Below are 24,900 nucleotides of genomic sequence, written 5' to 3'. Positions count from 1 at the left end.
AGCCTCACCTAAAACTAGTCAAATTAGAATTTCTATGAAATGGGGCCCAACCAGTCATTTTGTAAAACTTGCCTAAATGAAGATAATGTCAGGCAAAGTTGACAACTGATCTTGTCCATTTGAGCGGAATCGGAAGTGAAAATTTTGTGGACTTTCCTCTCCGTGGTGATAAGAAATTGATCATGATTTTTCTTGCACCTCAGTCCCTCCAGCTCTCAAGCTCTCTGCCCCATCTTACCTTCCTTCTTCATTAGGATTTCAGGTATTCAAAAGGTTCATGGTGAAAGTTTTTGCATCTGTTGATTCTGTTCTCCAAAATGTTGGCGCACAATTGAGGAAGAGAGGGAAATGTTGATAGGTTATGAGATCGTACTACAATAGCTATTTGATTATAAAATTAAACATATTACTGAAAGCTCATCTCATCTTTTCACCCACTACAATGCCAATGCTATATGAGTAATTTTTGTCAAAGAGGCAGCAAAAAGATTATTCATTGTAACCAGAGAAACAGCATGTTATTAAAGGTAACTGCACTGCTGGAGAGACTGTGTCCCCCCTACCCTATTATTACAAATTCTAAGAACAAAAAGCAGATGCCCTTTTCCTTCTTTGACTGGACGAGTAGAAACATATTCTATAGGACTTTTTGATTATTGAAGCTACTTAGAAATTGTAAAATTTGATGTACATCTGATACAGCGGGAAATTCATCCTTTAAGAGACTACCCCATGATTCTGCTTCCTATTGCTTTACTCGTATTCAAGCTGGTGAGTCTGTTTTTGGCCTCCTCTTTCTATGGTGGTGGGTATGTACATTCTTTTAGTACAGTATACTGAGATTTTTTATTTTTTTTTACAGGCTTCATTGATTCAGGAACAGCTCCTCACCTGGCATATCATTTGTAATTTTTGTCAAGATTCTCACAGGTGTTAAATGTAGTATTATAGTACTTGGTAACACCTGGCCAGGCTGTTACAGAGTTATGTTTATTTTAATTGATATATGATATAGTTGTCATAAAGAAAACGATCATGCTAATAGGCTTCTTACTCCCCAAACTGAACATAGATATTTATGGTAAAGGGTAGCAACTATAAACAAATCAATAATTCAGACACAGCTAAATAGAAAATACAGTCTTGGGAAATTGCTCCCTAAAGAGAAATATAATATTGTCATTCCTTTATCACTGAACAAATGTATGTCATTGGCAGTGTTGTGGAAAAAAAATCAAACTTAGGTGTCAGAGAGTTCGGTTAAAATTCCAGCTTTGCCACTTATTTTCTTTGTGACCTAAAGCAAGTTACTTAACTTCCTAGTTTTGCCATCTGTTAATCCACGTGATGATACATGCCACATACGTTAGTGAAAATCAATATAAAACACTTGTGGAGTGCCTGGTGGCATAGTCGACACTCACTAATTGGCAGTTCTTGTCATACAGAATCTTCTTTCTCTTTCCCTCTGAAGAAGAATTAGCCTTCTCCTCTTCCAAATGTGACTTTTCTGTTTGTGGAAATCATTATTTAGAAATTTGACCTACATTAGTCTATACCTGCCTACTTGATCTCCAGAGCTAAGCTAGCTAAACAAGATTATTAGTAGGCAATAGAAAAAGATACAGCAAAAAGTCTAAAACCTTTCATTTGCCTTCTTGTCGTAGATTTCTCACCTATCTCTCCTTTGTGCTACTTTCATTTTATGTGGATAATTTTCTCATTGCTCCCCTTGTGCTTTTCTTTGTTCCTGGAACAATTTGTCAGCAAATACTTCCCAACCTACTTTTTTGCTCAATTTTCTTTTGAAAATTTACTTCCTTCAAGGCCAGGCATAGTGGCTCATCCCTGTAATCCCAGCACTTTGGGAGGCCGAGGTAGGTGGATCACCTGAGGTCAGGAGTTTGAGACCGGCCTGACCAACATGGTAAAACCCCGTCTCTACTAAAAATACAAAATTAGCTGAGCGTGGTGACGCATGCCTGTAATCCCAGCTACTCGAGAGGCTGAGGCAGGAAAATTGCTTGAACCTGAGAGGCAGAGGTAGCAGTGAGCTGAGATCATGCCATTGCCCTCCAGCCTGGGCGACAAAAGCGAAACTCTGTCTCAAAAAAAAAAGAAAGAAAGAAAGAAAGAAAAAAAGATAATTTACTTCCTTCAGGAAAGTGTGTCCTTGGGATTAAGAAGAAGACAAGAAGGTGAAATCAACCTGTGTCACTCAGGCCTGTGGAGGAAGTGGTATTTCTCTTGGGCCGCACAGCACTTCATATGGTGTACTGAACGGGATGGATGAATAAAGCGCTTATCTCCATTAGTGTCTCCACAGTGAATATTACCATTGTGAACCTTGTGTCAGGGGGCAGTTGTAAAATGACCCAGGTTTCTTTCTGAGTTGTCACATTCTTTTTTCACTTTAGCACTCCTGTGGGCCCTAGAAATACACTCTAGAGATATTTTTTTGTTTCCATTTTAAAGTAGTAAAATAATCTTTAATTAAAGAGGACTGGAAACACTCAAATACTGACACTGTTGTTTGGGGGCATACAGGTTGCTGACAACCCACAGGCTCACTCAGTACCACTCCACATCCTTCTGTGTGGTTTCCACAGACCCGTGGACTGCTCTCCTGAGGCTGTCTTTGGCTGCCCTGTATTCTTGATCGCAGTACTGATCTGGGACTTTTTAACATAACCATGTGGCTTGACAAAACTTTTGAATTGCTCTGGGCAAAAGGTCTTCCAAGTCAAGGAGGTCACTTTGTCCATGATTATGATTGGAGATGTCATTTTAGTTGGGCTGCCATATGTCAGACATGATAAAAAAATTTCATTCTGTCAAACATAATATTCTGTCAAAAAATATTGAGTCAGCACCCACCGTGTGCTGGGCCATGTACTACATACAGATGTTTAGTTTCTGCATTCCTAAAGGGATAATGCTGGTAGGATCCAGAGGACAGGCTAGCCTGCTTATTAAAAAAAATGCATCTTGTTTTCCAGACAAGAATAGCAGGGAGTGGCCTGGTGACATTATTCATCGTTTTGGTGTAACCCACACCTCACCCCAGCCTTGTTGACCTTCTGATACTATTGGAAGATTAAAAGGTTATACCTTCCCTACCTCTCCTTGGGATACCAACCCTTTTAAGCTGTTAGTTAACCCAAATTAGGATCTGGGATACATCATCAAAGTAAATACACTCATGAAACAAAAGAAACCCCAACAAGCATTCTGGGTTACCCCGGTATCCCTTTTGTTGCCAGACTAGCACTGATAAATTATTCAAGAAAAAAATTTCTATGCCCAAAATAATTTTGCTCTTTATTATGTTATTTTATGTTTTATGTTATTAGGCATGCATTACATGTAATGATCTCCCATTTTAAATGAAATTCCTGTTTTTTTCATTTTATATTTTGTTTCATTTTTAAATAGTATTTTAAACTGCTCCAAGATTGCTAGGTAAGATTCCACTCCTTTTGTCAGCAGGAATAACTCTAATAGTTGTAAGGTGATAGAGAAGAATGTTAGAAAAGACATTTGTAAATCAAAAAGAATGTCCTAATGTTTACTGTTGATTATTCACACTTTTTTTTCCATTCTATTATTTAAATATAGGTAACTTTTATTGTTTCTAACAAAATAGTACTAAATTGCTAAATCTATGCTTGCAAATTTCCCTTGTTTTTATGTTCATCTTAAAAGTTATTTCTCTCCATTTCTAAATTTTCTTTTATTCCTGGAGTTCCCCTTTACCAGATTTATATTCCTACTGTTACATTTAGCAGGTGTTATGTTCTTTTTCTTAGTAATGTGATATGGTTTGGCTGTGTCTCCACCCAAATCTCATCTTGAATTGTAGCTCCCATAATTTCCATGTGTTGTGGGAGAGACCCAATGGGAGATAGTTGAATCATAATGGCAGTTTCCCCTATACTGTTGTGGCGGTAGTGAATAAGTCTCACGAGATCTGATGGTTTTATAAGAGGTTTCCCCTGTTCATTTGGCTCTCATTCTCTCTTGCCTGCTGACATGTAAGATGTGACTTTTGCCTTCCACCATGATTGTGAGGCTTCCCCAGTCACATGGAACTGTGAGTCCATTAAAGCTCTTTTTCTTTATAAATTACCTAGTATGGGGTATGTCTTTATCAGCAGCATGAAAGCGGACTAGTATATAATGGAAATGATTTTTCACCCAAAATTTGGTATTTAATTATTAATCTTTTCTCCTTTCTCCTTTGCTCTACAGCAAAGAAATTGTTGACATTCTTTCCTATTGCCTAGGTCATCCCAAGACTGCAGCTAAGTAACCTTGAAATAAAAGACTGAGCAGTGACAACTCTTATCACTGTGTCTTGCTAGAATAGACTACAAATGTCAAATCTATTGAGAGGGACTTCTTAAAACGTTCATCCAAGAAAATACCACCACAACCAATTCAAAGATTAACTCTAGCTTCACATTTAGTCGTTTTTTTAAATTAAGAAACATTCTAGCCTTCATTTAAAAGACAAATGAACCTGTTTTTGCGTGCTTACCCCTTAACTTTCTTACCCTTTGAAGTACATGTATGTTGTTCCAAATTAGTTTTTAAGCTAAATAATAAATTTACATATTTAACCATTAACTGAAATATTAACTTTTTATCTTTTCTTTCCTCAATTCCTGTTAGCATTTCTGAAATATATTGTCCAATTTTTAACTAGCTATTTTTAACATTAGTCTTTGAAACAGTCTTCTATAGGTATAGGAAATTAGTCCCAAATCATATAAAGCATCATTTTTCACAGAGTTCCTATCTTTAACCCTCACTGCATAGTACTCTTGGATATACAGACTAAGCATTGTTTTCCAAGTACTATCTAAAGGTATATATATAGAATTATTATTGACGATTATCAGTATTATATCACTGATGGATAGTTCTAAATGGAGCTGGAATGAATACCAAGATAATTGCAATAATGCTAGACTTCCAGTATGCCAAACAAGAAATGACTTCCTAATGTTTAAAACTTCTTGAAAATAGATATCTTGAGTGGTAGTGAGTTCTCTATTACGAGAACTATTCAAGCAGAGATAATATCTGAGGGAGGATGTGGAAAGATGAAAGCATTGGGTAGGAAATCAGCCTATATGATCTCTAAATTCCATTCTAATCCTGGGGTTCATTCTAGACTGGTTTTTTATTTTTGTTTCATTCAGCAAATGTTTACTCTGTGTGTGCATGCTACTGGCAGGGTGCTGTGGAAAATACAGAGATGGATGGGAAGTACTCTTGTGTTGAGAAAGAAGACGGAAACCATGTAAAATTTTCTGCCTATGACATGTTGGGGCTCAAGAGAGGACAGAATCATCATAGACTGCAATATTTGGGGAAGGATTTGTGGAAGAGGAGACATGGGAGAACAGAGAGGAGAAGGAAGGGCATTTGAGGTAGAACAACCCTTGGAAAGGCTCAGAGCAAGAACAGGTGTCTGAATGGATGCTTTTGTATGCGTTGGTTATTCTGAAGAAAGAATAGAAATCATCCAAAGTGATTACATGCAAACACGGACAAATTTTTGAAGAAACCTTATGAAAATATTCTAGTTGAAAATTCAGGGTAAGTTCCAATTTTTGTTGTGACTTTTCCTGTCTTATTCAGCATTCCCATGGTAACAACTTCCATTAACATATATTATGTAAAAGGAAATATTACTTTGGGTTATCACTACTAATCAAGTATCCAGTTAAATTAGAAATAAGTGAAATAACAAACTTTCGTAACAATAATAATAAAGATAAAATAGATAAAATGTATTGGATGTTTTCTGTGGGCATTATTCATTTAATTTTATTAATATTCCACTTTAGATAGGTACTTTTTTTTTTTTTTTTTTTTTTTTGAGACGGAGTTTCGCTCTTGTTACCCAGACTGGAATGCAATGGTGCGATCTTGGCTGACGCAACCTCCGCCTCCCAGGTTCAAGCGATTCTCCTGCTTCAGCCTCCCTAGTAGCTGGGATTACAGGCATGTGCCACCACGCCCGGCTAATTTTGTATTTTTAGTAGAGACAGGGTTTCTCCATGTTGGTCAGGCTGGTCTTGAACTCTCAACATCAGGTGATCCGCCTGCCTTGGCCTCCCAAAGTGCTGGGATTACAGGCATGAGCCACCACACCCAGCCAGCTAGGTACTATTATTATTCAAGTTGTAGACATGGAAACTGAGACCTGGATAGCTTCAGGTTTACATAATTTGTGCGTAACACTATAGTATGCATTCAGTATTAAGTCAGTGTCTTGCATAATCACTCAGAGGTCAGAGAAGTGTTGTATTTATTATTAGCAACACTTTTTTTTCCAGTAGGATTTTTCCAGATGTCAGAGCCTTAAAAATATAACTAAATCCAGACAGCCATATTTGTTAATCTGCATATGAAAAAACAATGTCATAAAGCGCTACCCCATGAGATCTAATTATATTCTTCTAGAACTTAATAGGTTTAATTTACTTATTCACTATAACTTTGCCATGCTGATACCAAATGTAAGTTGCATGCCATGATTAAGTGTTCTGTAGCTGAAAGGGGGAGATTGTTATTGATATTCAGTATGTATTAATATATTCAACAAATATTTTCTTAAAATGATTTCAAAAGTGTATATATTTCTTCATGAGTTAAATTTTTTCTGAATCCTCTTTTAAAATTATTATAACTAACTTATGAAAGAAGTAGTATTACCTATTTTCAATAGATGAGGAAGCTGAGGCCTGACAGGTTTTAGTTAATTTGCAAAACAAAAACTAAAATTTCCCCATTGCAGATGACTTCTCAAATTTCTCTGCTTTTCATATAAGAATTATTTCTTTATTTAAGTAGTAATTTTAAAGCAATTTAAGACAACATTCAATGAGATACTTTCATAGTAGCTTTAAAGTGCAGATATTTCTAGAGATACATAATTTTACTATTCCTAGAAATGTAAGCAATTGCTTTCTTGAATTCCTTTCTTAACCCTACACTCAGAAGTTCTCAGGCCTCAGTGTCATCATTCACCCTCAGTTGCCTGTTAACTTTTTGTTTGTTTGTTTTTGAGATAGAGTCTCACTCTGTTGCCCAGGCTAGAGTGCAGTGGCGAGATCTTAACTCACTGCGACCTCCACCTCCCAGGTTCCAGTGATTCTCCTGCCTCAGCCTCCCCAGTAGCTGGGATTACAGGCACGTACCACCATGACCGGCTAATTTTATTTTATTTTATTTTATTTTTGTATTTTTAGTAGAGACAGGGTTTCACAATGTTGGCCAGGCTGGTCTCGAACTTCTGACCTCAAGTGACCTGTACGCCTTGGCCTCCCGAAGTGCTGGAATTACAGGCATGAGCCACTGCACCCAGCCCCATTAACTTTCTTCTCCTGAGAGAGCCTCTCCAAGAATGTTCTCTGAGAAGTAAAAAATCAAATCCCTCTTCAGTGTGGCTTTGTGTTCTACCTACTTTGTTCTCTTTAGCTTTAGTGTTCCTTATTTTCCGAGATACAATGAAAAGTAGGAGCAAAAAGGGAGAAAAAGCCCAAGAGCTGCATCCCTTTCTTCTAAAGTATCAAACCATATGTCTTCTATTCCCAAGTGCTGTCTTATGGTTTTACCTGCTCTTCAAGATAATTTTGTCCTCACCAGCTGATGTTGGACTAGATCTACTTCGCTACTTACTAATTAGCCTACTAATGTTAGACACATAACACATGATTTATTTTGAAGAAAAACAAAACAAACATGTCCCAACTTTCCTATTTAGAAAGTGAGAGTAACACTCAAAACACAATATAAATTTAACATTAAAATAATTCATTATATTGTATGTTTATCACAGATTAGAGTCACATTCTTGTATCCACTAACATAGGCATAGTTAAGCCTCTCCAGAAGGTCTTTCCCTTTTCATCTCCTAGCTGGACTTTAGATAAATATCAGCTTTCCAGTTTACCTGAGTTCAATTTATTTAGGAAAGGCAGGAATGGTATGTAATTGTTTTCCTTTATTTTCCAGTTTTTAAAATATGCAGTGGTTTTGCATCATCCCATAAAGGTGATCAGTGAAGAACTATTGTTTAATTATCATTTTAAACTCAGTGATCCATTGCAATTTTTTTTTATTGATGCTCAAATTGCCCTATTTTTGATAGTGGAAGCTTCTTCATTTGATTCCTGTTTTCTTTTGACATGGACTCGTTATGTCAAGATACACCAGGCTCTTCTTATGCACGTTATGGTAGAGACATGGGATAATCCATTTTTCTAAAGAACCGTGCTTCCTTTGATTGAATTTTTCTAAGTCTGTGCTACATCCCGAATCTTACATCACTGTGTTTTTCTGTCTTTTATTCCTCCAGCTTAAAACCTATTATATTCGTCATCACAGGTCCAGCCTTCTCATTACAACTCAGCAAAGTCAGCCCCTCCACACAGGTTTTAAAGCATCCTCATTCAAGGACTAAAAGCTTGTAGTTTCTTGTACCCAATACTCACTTAATCCCCAGACACATTTTCTACTTTTGGAGAAGTTAGAGGTGGGACTTGGGAAGAAGTAATTTTACATTTTAGCTAGTCCATCAACTTGCTGGGTATTACCTTCTGATTTTGTTTGTCTCAAATATTCTGCATTTGTTTTAAGTATTGAAAATGGACCTCTTGGACCCAGCCATTTGGAAATAAATAGAAAAGTGTTCAAAACTGTATGGTATTACATTCATGGGCTTTCAAACTTCTTTGTCCTGCAGTGAGAAATCCATTTTGCATTTGAAGTGCTTGTTGGACTCTCAGTAGATTAATTTTGTCACTTAACACAATGACCAGAAGTTTGAAAAATACTGGTCTAGTTCAACTTCTCTCTCAATATATAAGTAAGAACTGGATCTGTCAGTGAATGACCTGCTAGAGGGTAGAAAACCGGTAGATTTCCTCGGTACAAAATGGACACTATTCTCGAGGTAGAAGGTGCCAGCCTTCCCAAGCTCATCAGATCCCACACGTTGATCTTATTAGCTATAAAATCAGGGGTTAATATTCTTTCCATCTCATATTTTTTGGAGGCAAAGAACCAGACAGATTGATGATTTCACTGTAGGATAGATATTAAATGGAACTTTCTCCTTAGGCAAAAAGACCGTTTTGTTCATCTAATTTCCTAATTAAGTAAATCAAACTTACTTTTAACTTAAATATTAAGCTGTTAATTTTCACCCTTATCCTAAAACATTCCCTTGGGCTTGTAAAGACTCAGTCACCTAGAATTTATCTGTCAAATGTGTTTCTTTCCTTGGGTTTATCTGCATGACATTAAATAAATACTTTGAACTTTTCAACTTTTCAAACAATTGTGTTGAGTCGACATGGCTGATCCAGCCTCCGTGCCTCTGTGCTCTGTGTATGCCAAGTGACTGAAAGTGACTTGGCTTTCATTGAAAATGACTGAGTGAGGGCAGAGAAAAGATTTTAAAAAACTAAAAATTAGGAATAAACAAAGAAAATTCAGTTCATCTTCAGGAAGTTATGGTACTTTTCTATTCACCATATATATATATGAAAAACAAAAGCAAAACTATATGTGTATGTATATATGTATATATATATATATATATATATATATATATATATATATAAAACAGGGAACAACTCACGACCAAGCTGTATATATATATATATATATATATATATATATATATATATGCTTTTCAAATGAACTATGTTCATACTGATATAATATACATTTTGCCTGCCAAAATGCTTTCATATGGCAAATAATTCTTAGAAGCAGAGAAAAAAAATTGTGTGGAAAACTAGCTATGTACTGTTTGATGATTGATACTTGTGTATTTTTAATCATCTCTATTTCTTTCTTAGGTTAAATTTCCCTTTTTTTTCTTCCTACTTACTATCTCTTTCCTCACATATGGCTCTAGGAGCCTCTCCAAGAAAGCAGTTTGCTTTGAAGATATTTTATTTCCGCTCATAAAGGATTCTTCTGTTCTACTATTAGAAATAAAATCACAATAAAATCCTAATAGGATCCAATCCCTTCCTTGCCCTTTGTATGTTTGGAAATCTCTCCGAAGTCAGCCTTATGAAGTCAGATTTGGAGGTTTGAAGTCCAGAGATGTGTCTCTGGTGTTCTGAGGAGCAGGCACTTGTATAGGGAGCAACTCACAACCAAGCTGCGCGCATCCAGAATGATATTTTCTGAATATGCTAGAAGATGGTATATTTGAAACTTTAAATTATTTCTATCTTATAGTAACCAATTAACTTTTAATGAATAATACATATTATTACACACATTTATATTATAGTAGCATACCTATATATGTGCATCAATAATAAATAAGATTTAAGCTGCCAATGTTGAACAGCAATAAGGAACTTAAAATTTCTGCCCTACAAAATAAATGAAGAGTTTGAAATTTAATCAGTCCTATTTTATGTTGAGGCAAATGTACTTCAGCTTTTTTCTGAGAATCATCCCTTCTGCTCTGGTTTACATAAGAAATTGGTTGAAATCCTCTAAAGCATTCGTTTTCAACTTTGCCATTATAACACACCTTGCATTCAAGGTTTGCAAATGATTAACTTTCAAAAAAATTATAAATTGGAACAGATTAAGTGATATCTTCTTTTCACTCTCTTGGACCCTGACAAAATTTTAAGCGCTAGAAACAGGGATGAGGGTATCAAGCATGTTGATATTTGCACATGATTTCTGGTTTCTTTGTTGTCACAGCTTTTGATGCTTGTACTTACCAGTGTACGATTTATTAGTTATTTACATTCCTGTGAAGTGTATTATTGTTATAAAGTCTAGTCCCTTATTCCCCTAATGCATATTCCCCCCACATTTCTGTCACGTTCTTTTATTTCCACAATATTTTGGGGCTACAGAAAATTCAGGGAATGCGCATGAATATGTGCCGCACATGTAAACATTATCCATCACATTCATCATTCGGTGGAGGAACATGCTGATTCTAGAGCTGGAGGAGGTCCTTGAGGACAAATAGGACACCAAACAGCACAAACCTGATGACGCTCTCACATACTCTACATTATGTGGAAAGGTACAGCCTTTCTATCGTTATGCTGTCTTTTGCATGAAGTTCATGCTTCATCTTCGTTCCTAGACTTCATTTGAAATCTACGCTCTCAGATTTATGAAAAAATATACTTTTTAAATATTGTTCATAAGTGTGGTCTTGATATTTAGTAGCCTACATACCGTATACTCGGCATTTAACTTAGAAACCTACTATAATTTCCCAAGTTTTTCTGGTAATGGGAAGGTCCTTTAAGACATTTTTTACGTGCAGTGGGCTCTACAAATATTTACTTTTTTTTTTCACCTTTAAGAAACTGGTTGAAAATTGTAGAATTAGACTTTGAAGCTGTGTAGTGTATTTTTGGACTATTACATTTCTATCTAAATCTACAACCTGCTAGGAAAGATCGGATCCCTTCCAGCTTGTGATTGTAATATATGATTTGTGTGGACTCTAGTCTGTCTCACAAATGCGTTTAGTATTTTCTGAACTGAGCTTCTGTTGTGTGCCAGGCAGGTTTCTAACTGTGCGTGTTCAGTCCACTGATTGACTGACTGAGAGCCAAGTTATTCTCACTAACACATACTCAATTCCCAACTACTACAGAAAAGATGGACTCCAGGGCCTAAATTGGACCCTCACTAACAAAGCTTGCTTTCTGCCAGTAGTCATACTTAAACAGTGAATGAAAATTCAGTGACCTATATTCTTCCATTTAAAACCTTAAAATTTTAAATTAAAACTTTGTCAACAGTAATTTTAACCATACTGAGGCAAAAAGAGCGTTCCCTGCAATCTGGCAGCACTAAATATAATTCATAACTATCAAAAATCCGTTTTCTCTGCATAACTTTTAAGAACGCTCCTGATGTCTTCAAAATTCCATGCAATTTTCTTTAAAAGTTGGTTTGGAATGCCACTGTGCATCTTGAAGCCCACATACAGTGAGTTAAATTACAGCAATAGCATATTTCTCAACCACCATATAGTTGCAAATCCTTTATCCTGAAGTACATAGTAAAGGATTTTCTCCTTGAACAGTGAAGAAAGTTGAACTTTGGGGTTGTTTCAATTTAACACATGATGTGCTGCTGCACACTTAAAGCTGCGTTTTGACTTTCCTACTTTTTCTTCTTTATTCATACCTGCTTCCCATAAAAAGAGCTAAGTATGTAATACTGATTATAAAACTGGATCCACATTATCACTGTTTTCAAAGCATCATATCCCTGCACTGGCTAATGTAAGTACTTCCTTTTCAGTAGGTTAATCTAAATGCAGAATAGAAGGCTGTTTATTCTCACAATCATTTCTATCACTTCGTCATAACCACTACTGTTCTTCCCTGTGTAAATGGCATCACTATTCACCTTTTTACTTGGCCAAAACTTTGATCTCCCTGATGCTTCACTTTCTTTCTACCTTTCATCACATCCATTTGCAAGCCCGGTCAACTCTATCCTCAAAATATATTTAAGTAGAGCCAAATCCACTGATAACTGTGGTAACCACTTAACTGTATCCGCTATTTGTCTTCTTCCTATCTTATAATCTATTTATCACAGAGTGGCTTCAATGAACATTCTACAATTTTTTGAATGAATTAAAATGTTATTTAAATTAATTTTTTTATGACTTTAGCAATATGGTGTTTATCCTGGGTTACATATAGACCTAAAACCAAAAGAAACATTAAAATTTAAACATTCCGGTGCCTCGCCTCCCATTTAGTTTAGATTCAAATAAATATTTAGACATTTAGCCACCATAGGCCACCCTTGGCACAGTGTGCTCAGCAAGACAAGAGCCTTAGCTTGCCAGAGGGCAGTGTCAGGCGGTCAGCTTCTGTAGGAGACCTTGTGGTAGTCCCACGTCACGGTTCACCCAGCAGTCAGGAGGCTCTTCTTTCACCCACCAGATGAAGGCTCAAGTATAAGGAGGTAAGATCCACATAACATAGATACAGGCATTACCCTGGCTTAGAAGCTTCAAGCCCCCACCACCTAATATGTCTTGGAACAGTCAACAGGCATAGCTTCTAGAATTGCCACACGTTATAAGTCCAGTTATATCAATGATTGCATTCAGGTAATCGAAAGCAATGGTGTCCCTATCAGGTATTTATAGTTCTCTCAAACCAGACAGATGCTATTTATCAATCAGGGATCATTGTTACAATAAGCAATAATAGTTGCTTATAATAACATGGTTAAAATACCATTTTAGAATTGCCAGAGAACAGATCTGGGAAGTTAACCAAAGGTCAGATTTTCATGGGAAAGGTTTCTTAGCTCTTACCCACTGTAGGAATTTTTAAATCAGCTTCAGATTTGACTTTAAATGTAAAAACGATTCTATATGTATTAGAGGGCAGATATTTAACCACCATCCATACCACATTTTTTATTTCCTCTGCCCAGCATGCTTTTTAAGAGAACATTTATTATACTCCTAAAATTGAGACAGAGGAGGTAGGGCATATGAAAGGATGACAGTGCTGTTTCTGAAATCCTCCCCTCCAGCCTCTGGACCAGCCAGTCCTGGCCTCACCTGGGACTCTGATACTTTACGTATCGTCCAGACATAGCCACAGGAATAAGTACCATTAGATTCCTATTTTATTTTTGCATGAGGGAGAAAAACCTAGCTAATACGAGGCAGCAAAATCACCCAGAATCTTGCTTGTGCCTATTCAGTCTGGTCTCCAAATGACAGAGCAAAACAGAAAAAAAAAAAAAAAGTCATTGAAAATTTGACACTCTAGCAATTTGCTTTGCTACTATTGGGAACACTGGGAGACAGGCACCCAGTATCCCCTAACCAGCGTAGAGTGTTCTTGGCAAAAATTTGTCAGTTTTGCAAACATCTTTTAAAACAAGTATTTCTATTATCTAATTTCTTAGGGTTGGGGAAATGAGGAATCAGAATGGAAGCTTCCTAGCTAATATGAATTTTTGTGGGAAAATATTGCAAGAATGTATTATATAATACGCTACGAATTCTGTCTAGAAGTATTTCCCACTAGTTTGATTATTGGTTCCGAGATTATGAAGAAGTTTCAGTGGCATCCTATAGAATTTGGCTAAAAATTTTTCAAGCTTCAGAGCTATAGGAGCTGTGAGAAAATGCTGATTCCTCTGAAGCCTCCATTTTCATTCAGAAGAAAACTGAGGCCTGGTTTTTCCCAGCTCTAGAACCAGAACTAAGCTGTCCTCGATCCCAGGCTGGAGTACTTTCCCTCCCATTGCTTAACTATGGCACTTTTTCCTCCTCTTTGCCCAGGAACTTTTCTGTGAGACAACCAGACATACCTTTACTCAGTAGTATTGCAAAGGGGGTAGAAAATATGAGTATTTTCCAATTAAATCATGTTATATGATAGTGGAATATTATTTTATTTCTATCATGTAATGATTTTAGAAATATTTTTATTAATTTCTTGCATAAGCTTTTTCAAATAAGATACAATTTCTTACCTACTTATTTAGAATAAGTAGGATTACATTATTACTTTTTATTAAAAAATGGGGAAAATAGTGTTCGTTAACTGAAATGTATGAGGCTTTCACACACAAATGTCTGTTAAAATATCAAAACATAAGTTTACCCAGGTTCTTGAATAATATTTAATTGGGTATACAATTTAGGAATTAAATTTTTTGTGTGTATTTTGAAGATATTATCCCACTGTCTTCTGGCTTGCATTATGTTGAAAGAGCTGCCAATCATTATTCCTTTGTTAGTAATTGTCTTTTTTCTTTGCTTGCAATATCTTCTTTTTACTTTTAATGTTGCGCAGCTTTTCTGTTATATCTCTTCCTATGTGTTTCTTTTTATTTATCACGTTCAGAATTTATAGATCTTCCTCAACCCAAGGACTCAGTTCTTTAATTAGTTTGGGGAAAGTTTCAAACCTTATTTTCTCAAACATTGCCTTTTTCCCATTATCTCTATTCTGGACATTTAGCCATATATATTAGACCTTCTCATGCTATATTTTTAATCTATTAATCTCTCTTTTATTTTATCCATCCCTATGCTATAATGTATGTTATTTTCACATCTGCTTACGATTTGCTGATTTTTCCATCAGCCCTGTCCAATTTTCTCTGTAAGCTATCTGTTGGATTTTTAATTTCAGTGATCATCTTTGTACTTTCTGGAAATTATGATTCTTTTTCATAAATCTGCTTTGTCTTTTTTATAGTAACATGTTACTTGCTCATGTTTTCAGTTCTCTTTCTATTTCACAGTTTGGATATACTTTTACTACATTTATGTCTGATAATCTAAAATCTGAAGTCCTTTAGGGTTTTATTCTTTTCTTTCTTCTTTTTTCTGGCTCTCATTCATAGTGAATTGGGTTTTTTGTTTTGTTTTGTTTTTAATTGTGAACTTCTACTTGATCTTTATCTATGGGAACCCACTGTGACCTGTGTTAACGGATGTGCTTTCAAAGATCTGTGTTTGCTCCACCAGGAACTCTGGTACACTACCAGTTTGGACTACTTTCAGTTTCTTGGGCAGTTTGGACTACTTTCAGTTTCAGTTCTTGGGCAGGGGTTTCTAAGAGCAGAAAAAAGGGTAACTCACACTCCATATTCATGTGATTGGCCTGTGACTTTGATTCTCAGAGGAGATATTTTTTCCCCTTATCACACATGGCCATTAAATTCAAAAGGCCACAAATATTAGCAAGCTTCCTCAAGGTAGCTGTGGCATTCATACTTAATTTTTGGGTCCTTAACTTTTTACATTTACTTCATTTGTTTAAACAGCTTTATACATTATAAAATTCATGCATTTTAAGTGTACATTTCAATTATTTTAGTAAATATGCAGAGTTGTGAAATCATCACAATTCAGTTTTAAAACTTTCTTTCACTCCATTAAGATCCTCTTCTCTGTTTACAGTTAATCACCGTTCCTGTTCAATTTCAGGCAACTAATAATTCACTGTCTATATAGATTAGTCTTTTCTGAACATTTTGTATAAAGGGAATCAAACAAGATGTGGTCTTCTGCATATACCTTCTTTCTCTTAGTAAGTTTCTTGAGATTCATCTATGTTGTGGCATGTATTAGTATTTTGAGATTTGTCAGTGTTGTGGGATGTATTAGTATTTTATCCTTTTTATTGCTAAATAGTATTCCATTTTATGGCTATACCACTTTTTTTTATCCTTTCACCAGTTGATGGACATTTGGGTTATTTCTACTTTTTCACTATTATAAATAATGCTGCTATGACCTTTCTCATTCAGGTCTTTCATTTGAACACGTGTTCTCATTTATCTTAGGTAGATACCTGGGAAAAGTATTACTGAGAAGCATCATAAGTTTTTTCTTACTTTCTTACTAAGTCGGTTATGTATTTTAAAGAATGCTTGTTGTATTTTATCCAGCATTTCTATCTCTGTTGAAGTGGGAAAAAATTTTGGCAAGTCTGGAGCACAAGAGTTTTTGAAAGAGAAGGAGTTTTTTTTGTTTGTTTTAAATCTATAAGAGACGACTGGGCGCGGTGGCTTGTGCCTGTAATCCCAGCATTTTGGGAGGCCGAGGTGGGTGGAACACCTGAGGTCAGGAGTTCAAGACCAGCCTGACCAACAGGTGAAACCCCGTCTCTACTAAAAAAAAAAAAAAAAAAAAAATTAGCTGGGTGTGGTGGTGTGTGCCAGTAATCCCAGCTACTCAGGAGGCTGAGGGAGGAGAATCCCTTGAATCCGGGAGGCGGAGGTTGCAGTGAGCTGAGATCGCACCATTGCACTCCAACCTGGGTGACAAGTGAAACTCCATCTCAAAAAAATCTACAAGAGAAATTTGCAATTTGAAATTTATGTCATTTGAAAATACTCACTTGCAAGGTAATGATCATATTTTTGCATGTCTTTTTTTATTTTTAGTTATTAGAATCATCAAGATTCTTTAATAGCACAAGAGGAAAAATTTCAATAGGATGTTTAAAGTATTAGCCCAGGATTTTTTTTTTTTAATTTTGAGATGTCGGAAACTAACCTTAAGAAACTAATTTTCCGGCTGGGCACGGTGGCTCACACCTATAATCCCAACACTTTGGGAGGCCCAGATGGGCGGATCACGAGGTCAGGAGATCGAGACCATCTTGGCTAACATGGTGAGACCCCGTCTCTACTAGAAATATGGAAAATTAGCTGGGTGTGCTGGCAGGCGCCTGTAGTCCCAGCTACTTGGGAGGCTGAGGCAGGAGAATGGCTTGAACCCAGGAGGTGGAGCTTGTAGTGAGCCGAGATAGCACCGCTGCACTCCAGCCTGGGCGATGGAGTGCGACTCTGTCTCAAAAAACAAAAAAAAATACAAAAAAAAACTAATTTTCCTTCTGCATTTTCAGCCAAATAAATATATTTTTAATTTACTCAAATATTTAAATACAGAGTACTTAAATTCTACCTTTATTATTGTGATAATTAATTTCAGACATTTTAAATGATGAAGCAATTTAATTAGGGATTAATTCCATTTTGCAGACATGGTTTTGACTTGTGCTTTCACTAAAAACATAAAAACATTCACACATGTCATTCTTATTTCTCTGTTTGGGGTTTTCCTTTCCCTAAATTGGATCAAAACTATTGAGTAGTTGAAGGTGTTTTACATATATATGTATATGTATGTATATATATAAATTACACGGCTAGCAACGTGTACTACCACATGTGAAGATAATTTTTCTTCTTTTTACCTTTAGGTTATTTAGGGCTTTGAGGTCAACATTTTAGTATTATTAGTTGCTTTACAGTTTTATATTTGCAGATCATTTTAATAAGTGCACAGCTATTTTATAATTTCCTGTGTACATTGAAATTAAAGGGAGCACAGGTGTGTTTAAATGTTTATCATCTATGAGCACTTAGGATTCAAGGGCTTCTGCTGTATTCTACTTCACTAGCCAAATGCATTAAAATAATTTATTGTGCTATGTTCCTCTTTTTCTTTTCAACAAAATCATTTTTGCAAGATCTTTTTAAATGGATGTTGTTTTCATTCATGGAAAATTTCAAGAACGGAAGGTTGATTTAAATGCTTTTAACCAATCATTTAACATTAATGCACTGAACATTGTGGAGATGCTGAAAGCAGTTTGAGGTTCTGGTATATGATACTCTCTAGTGAGATTTTATTGTCTTGAGATTCTGGCATATCTATCTTAATAGAAAGTTGAAGATAGAGTTTTTATTCAGTGTATGGATTACATTAGTATAGGATGTTATGAAATTTATTTTTCCATCAAGTATATGTATTAAATTTTTGCAGTCATCAGATATCTATTGTCATTTGTAAAATATTGTTATTGCTTCTGTGTGTGCCATCTAAAGAACAGACTGGATTTTCCTTGGTAGAGTCTGTAACGAACAAACAGAAAAGGTGATTAACATGCAGCTCTAAATAGAATTCAGTTTTTTATAGTACTGCTGCAAGGAACCTGTCTTCATCTTCTCCCTGCATACTTTTCATTGCCAAGTGTACCCACATCTTTCTATTTTCACCTTGGCCTGGTGAAGCCTTAGCAGTATGCGTATAAGAAGCTTCTGGTTAGACCGGAAGTCAGCTCATCTTCAGGGTTGCCAGGGTGATGTTGTTATTGATATTATTATTCACATATGCATACAAACAACAATAAAAACAATACAGCTTTCATTTATACAGCTTACTAGACACAGCAAATCTAGAAGGGAGGAGGCATTATCCCATTTTACAGATAAGAAAACAGGAATCCAGGGAAGTTAAGCAAATTGCCCAAGATTATACATCTAGAAGTAAAACTCATTCACATAACCTCTATTCCCAGGATATCCTGACTTTTTGGTTCAGGAGGATTTCCTAGTTTCTACCCACCTTGTCTTTCTTGCCTTTCATTATCGCCTTTCTACTTGTTCTTAATTGGTGTGTCCATTTGTTTCTTTGCCTTGAATGTGGTATATGAATGCATCTCCACTTCAGACTGTTGAATAGATCACACTTAAGCACCAAAGAACATGTGTATTCACTTATCCATTCATTCAATCAACCAGTAAGTGTTTATTGAGTATTCATTATGTGTAAAGTCCCATATTTGGAGGAGCATAAAGATAAAGATAGACCTGCCTCCTTTTGCTTATATCCTCTTTGAAAGCAAGGTCTGAGTTGTGTCTGTGTTTGTGTGTGTATGTGTGTGTGTGTGCATGTGTTATTTAGAAATATGAGAATGAAGGGAAGAATTGCAAGAAGCAGCTAAATGAGTTGAAAGTGGTGGGGCTTTGGGAATGTGGAGGCATACAGCATGAGACTGCTAGTTGTAGTATTTGACTTTAAAAATTTGTATGTGTGTGTGTGGTGTGTGTGTGTGTGTGTGTGTGTGTGTGTGTTTCTGACAAAAGTAAAAAAAAAAAAGTAAATTTCAAAAAAGCATCCCACACTTTGTAGAACGGCAGTGATATAGGTCCAATTTTAGATATTTCAGAAACATAAGAGTCTTGCATGGCTAGTGCCTAAGATATGGAGGGTAAAAGGCATAATGCTCTCAGTCAACAGGTATTTGTCGAAGACCTAGTATATGCCTATCCCTGTGCTAGATACTGCAGACACAAAGATAAAATATCATTATTCTTATTTTCATCCTACTCACTCTGTCGCAAACTAACCTGGGGTGCAATAGACCTATATAACATAATATGACAGGTGGAATATATGATGATATTCATCTACCAGATACCTGGAAAGTATAGACAAGGTCCTCCCAAGTCACCTGGAGCTGGCACTGATGGCAAGGAGAGATCGCCAGCAGACCTGGAGGGAAATGGGCAGGAGCACTGCTCAAGCTTGGACTGATTGGGAAGGGCATGGTATTCGCCTTCAGTATTTAGACTGTATGGTGGAGAATTACCTGAGATGAGAGTGGAAAGGGGGTTTGGAGTAAGGTGTTGTCAAGCTTTAACTCTGAGTTTAGACTCTATGCTATAAATGTTAGGAGTTGTTGGAGATGTTTGAAGAGGCAAGTGTCAAGTCAGATTTATCTTGCAATGACAGAACTTTAGCAATGGAGGATGGATGGCACTGGGAAGAGCTTCATGAAGAAATCAACAATAAGGAAGATGTTAGAGTACTTGAGGATGAGAAATTTCAGGTTTCTCGGGTTTTTGCTTTTGACTTTCTGACCTCAAAAATTTTATATACATATATGTTGAAATCTGGTATTCTGGTGACACCTTATCAGTGTCATTGTATATATTTAGAATTTATACTTATATATTAGAAATTATATTCAGAATATATATATTTAGAATTAATTTAAATCTTATCTCTGTAGATTATAAACTTAATGGCCAAAATATTTCAGGTAGCACTGTAACATACTAAATACCTACTGTTTAATATCACATGAACATCTGTGACTCAAGAAACAGTTTGCAAAAGGAATTCTTAATGAAGTTTAACCCTTTACGTTTGAGTTGAAGAAAGTAATTGCTATGTATTGTCACTTGCCTAAAATGTCTTTCATTCTTATTGTTAGCAAACACTGTCCAATGGAAATTTAATGGAAGCCACAAATGTGAGCTGCATAGATAATTTAAAATGTTCTAGTAGCCACATTGAAAACAGTGAAAAGAAACTGGTGAAATTTATTTTAATAATATACTTTATGTAATACAGTATAATCAAAGTATTATTATTCCAGCATGTAATCAATTAAAAAATACTAATGAAATGTTTTACATTCTTTACTTATAGTAAGTCTTTGAAATCGGGTGTGTATTTTACATTTACAGCACATCTCAATTTGGACTATCTATGTTTCCCGTGCTCAGTAGCCATGTGTGTCTTTGGACAGTGTAGCTCTAGAATAACCTTCTGTAGTGTTAAAACTCCACTTCAGGATTCATTCTAAATTTATTGAAACGTGAGAAAATGGCTGTCAGTGTGGACTTTAGTTTCCTTCTTTGTGGCAAATATGCAATCAGTCACTGAACATGAATTTTATTTTGTTTATTGTCTTAGTGACTCAGGGTGTTGATTTATCCATCTAGTTAACAGACCTTAAGTTCACCTCCTACCTCATCCTTCTGAGGCTTTTCCTTTCTTTTTATAATCACATCCTTTTGTTCTCAGCCTCAGTCGCGTTTATAAATAAAGCAGACTGTTCATCTGACATCTTGGAAGACAGACAAGAACATCAGACAGAGAAAGAAAAAGGAAACCATCTCCTTTGTAACTGCTTGCCCTCTTGTAATGAAACCTGCAGTATTTGATATGATAATGAATTCTTGAAATTGTTTTCAAGATGCCATCTCCCTAATTCTCTTGGGTAATGAATAGCGAGAAGCACTGTTCCCTCATTAAGATGCCTGGAGGGGTCTTGGACACCCATGTGGAGAAGAGCCACTGTAGAGAACATACATCTGAATTGTGGACTTTGCTGTATGACAAACCCCTGCAAATGATGACATGTCACTAGAATATTAGAGTTCAGCATTTCAATTTTACATATAAGTTAGGATGGAGCAGAGAGACCAGCTCTAAGTATTTTGTTAGTCTTCACAGTTATCAACCTTCAATATCTGTATTATTAGTATTATACTGATAAAGAAATATACCTAGAGTATTTGCCTATGTTGCCTAAGGATACAATGTAAACAGTAGAAACAGGATTTAAAACCAGATGTCACTGACCCTAAACTTTCCGCTACGATGTACTGCCTACTTAGATAAAATCTCTCATCCCGGAATACTCCATGCTGTAAGTTTTCAGTGGGGCATGGTGCAAAGGGACCAGGAGACAGTTTCCAGTCTCAGCCCTGATATTAACTGGTTATAAGAACATGTGCATATTCCTCATCTTCCCTCTAATATTTTACATCTGCATCTGTCACAGGCAACATGCGAAGAGTAGTGATGTTAAAAATTCAACCCATTTTTCCAGGAGAGGTACCATGATGAAATCAAATTCTGTCTTCCAAAATTACTATCTGCTTAAAGGTATAAGCTTCAATGCTTTGGAGGCAAGCAGGCCTAAGTTCAAAACCCAACCTTGTGTCTTAATATCTGTGTGAAGACAGGCACATTTTTTAATCTCTCTGGATCTCAGTTTCTTCACTGTAAATTGGACTGTGGTAAAGAATTAATGATAAAATATAGTAGATATATTTTATTCTTTGAGAGTTTTACTTGTAAAACATTTCTTATATAAAAGTTAAATTATTACTGTTAGGTCAGGCGTTGTGGCTCATGCCTGTATTCCCAACACTTTGGGAGCCCAAGTGGGCGGATCACCTGAGATCAGGAGTTCTAGACTAGCCTGGCCAACGTGGCAAAACCTTGTCTCTACTAAAAATACAAAAATTAGCCAGACATGGTGGCGCACACCTGTGGTCCCAGCTACTCAGGAGGCTGAGACATGAGACTCACTTGAACCCAGGAGGCAGAGGCTGCAGTGAGTTGAGATCTTGCCACTGTACTCCAGCCTGGGTCACACAGGGAGACTCGGTCTCCAACAAACAAACAAACAAAAAATAGTGTCATAGGAATTCAGAGAAAGACAAAGATAATTTAAGAGCAGGAATGTTATCAGGGAACATTTAAGAAAAAATGAAATTTTAGGCTGGTAGAGAAAGGAAGGGAGGATTTGGACAGGAGAACTCAGCAAGGCAGAGTGATATTGTATGAAACAAAGGGAAAAAAATCAGGCATGGCGTGTATTAGGAAATTTGACATTTGTCATGTTTTTTGAGCATTTAGACATGGTCCAAGTTGTTGAGTTTTTGGTCATAACCAACCATAAAATTAAGTGGTTGCTTCTGCCTGAACATATAGCTGTAGCTTTAAGAAAAGAAAAAGAATAGATCTGTTGAGGTGTATTGTCTTTTATAGACTCAGCTACTGCACTGTGTTTCATCAACTACAGATTCTGATTTTTTGGGCTGCTTCATTGTCTCATTTTTCCATGACTGTATTTTTCCATTTTTCAAATTTACTGTCCTCAACTTTCACCTTCTTTTAGAATAACAGCTTTGTGCTTTTTATTAGGTTTCACAGAACTAATTTAAATGCTTATTGATTTAATACTACTTATTTAATTTATTTAATGTTATTTATTTTTATTTCATAACATCATTAAATGAGGCCAGATTACTTGAATTTCTAAGCATAAATCTCATGTAATTTTCCAAAATAAGTATTTTAAATATACTGAATAATTTATAAAAGCCTTCAGAAATTTGAGTTGATTTGGCTTTGGTTATATTGATACACATACACACACACACAAACTCTTATAAAACATTTTTTTTTCTTAAAAGTAAGGGAAAGTTTGTCCTCTCTCAAATAAGTCCTACTAGAATTAATGAAGACTGTATCCTGGCTTTTTGGTTCTTTTGGTTCACCTGATAGAGTTTAAATATCCTGTAGGAAAGAGTTCATTTAGCCATGCTTGCCTCTCTTAATGGGAGCTAAGTCATATGCAAGATTATTCCAAATTTTTCAAACAGCATGTGTTTTAAATAAATCAGGTTAAATAGGAAATAGTTGACTTGTAAAACATTGAATCATTTCTGTATTTTATATGTATTTATAAATGTGAAAATATTTTTCTAATATGTAAAAATTAAGAAATAGCAGAATGGTGTAGGAGATACAGTGTTAAAATGCTCTAATACCTTTTTAGTTCTTTTTCTGCTTTAAAAATCTTTTTATTGATGTAAATATAGAGAAAATTGCACACCTATCATAAGTACGCAGTTCAGTGAATCTTCACAAACTGAATACACTCTGTAACCAGAATTCAGATCAAGAAACATTTCTATTATTGCCACGATGCCCCCATGACCCTTTCCAGTCATTACCCTACCCCGAGGGTAACCAGTATCATTACTTTTAACCACGTTGATTAATATTAACTTATCTTATACTTAGAAAACATTTTTTAAACATATGTGACATTATAGAAATATCTGTATAGGTGTTTTTGTTTTTGTTTTTGTTTTTTGAGATGGAGCCTCACTCTCTCTCTCCCAGGCTGGAGTGCAGTGGCGCAATCTCGGCTCACTGCAACCTCCGCCTCCCGGGTTGAAGGGATTTTCCTGCCTCAGCCTCCCAAGTAGCTGGGATTATAGGCACCTGCCACCGCGCCTGGCTAAGTTTTGTATTTTTGGTAGAGATGGGGTTTCACCATCTTGACCAGGCTGGTCTTGAACTCCTGACCTCATAATCCACCCACCTCAGCCTCCCAAAGTGCTGGGATTACAGGCATGAGCCACCGTGCCCAGCCTTGTATAGGTTTGATAGTATGTTTATTGCCCTTTATGTTTATTTTTTAAAATATGCAGTTTTAATGCTATCTTCAGCCTGAAGATAAACTAATTTTTAATTAATTACCTGTGGCCTCAAAGAAGAGGGAGACTGATACATGTGTGCATATATACACACACACACACAACACACTAAAAAGATTTTGCCCTACCACAAATTATTCTGATTTAAAGCAGTGTATTAGCAAGAAAACATGTTATCAATGGTAAGAAGAAAAAAAAACATTATTCATTTAATTTTGTTAATATTTGGAATTATTTGGCATTAAAACAGAGGATTTTATTTTTAAAATCAATATTTGCGATATCATGTCACTAGGCTTTAATGGAAATAAATTAGAAACTTCCTAGAATGGTAGAGGAAATAATCTGGCTTTATGAATCAATATGTATTATGCCTTTTCCAAGCCTTCTTAATTAATGAAACAATTTTCACCTTAAATTTTTATTTTAAAACATGTAGAATTAATAATAATTATAATTTTAGTATGATTTTAACATTATTTTGAAAAT

At 35.8% G+C, this 24,900-nt stretch overlaps 1 protein-coding gene across 4 annotated transcripts in view, besides 1 other annotated feature; it reads left to right on the top strand.

Annotated features, from left to right (window-relative positions):
* Positions 1-24,900, top strand: part of FBXL17 (F-box and leucine rich repeat protein 17) — a 523,064-nt gene that overhangs the window by 363,194 nt on the left and 134,970 nt on the right. The window lies entirely within an intron of this gene.
* Positions 15,564-15,693: an enhancer, noted in NCBI's record as "active region_22875". NCBI's record gives its function as "activates an Ori minimal core promoter by ATAC-STARR-seq in GM12878 lymphoblastoid cells {active_cell/tissue: GM12878}" and the evidence as "EXISTENCE:reporter gene assay evidence [ECO:0000049][PMID:35858748]".

This window comes from Homo sapiens, chromosome 5 (genome assembly GCF_000001405.40).
Source record: "Homo sapiens chromosome 5, GRCh38.p14 Primary Assembly".
Taxonomy (NCBI): domain Eukaryota; kingdom Metazoa; phylum Chordata; class Mammalia; order Primates; family Hominidae; genus Homo; species Homo sapiens.
This window is presented reverse-complemented; position numbering and strand designations above follow the sequence as displayed.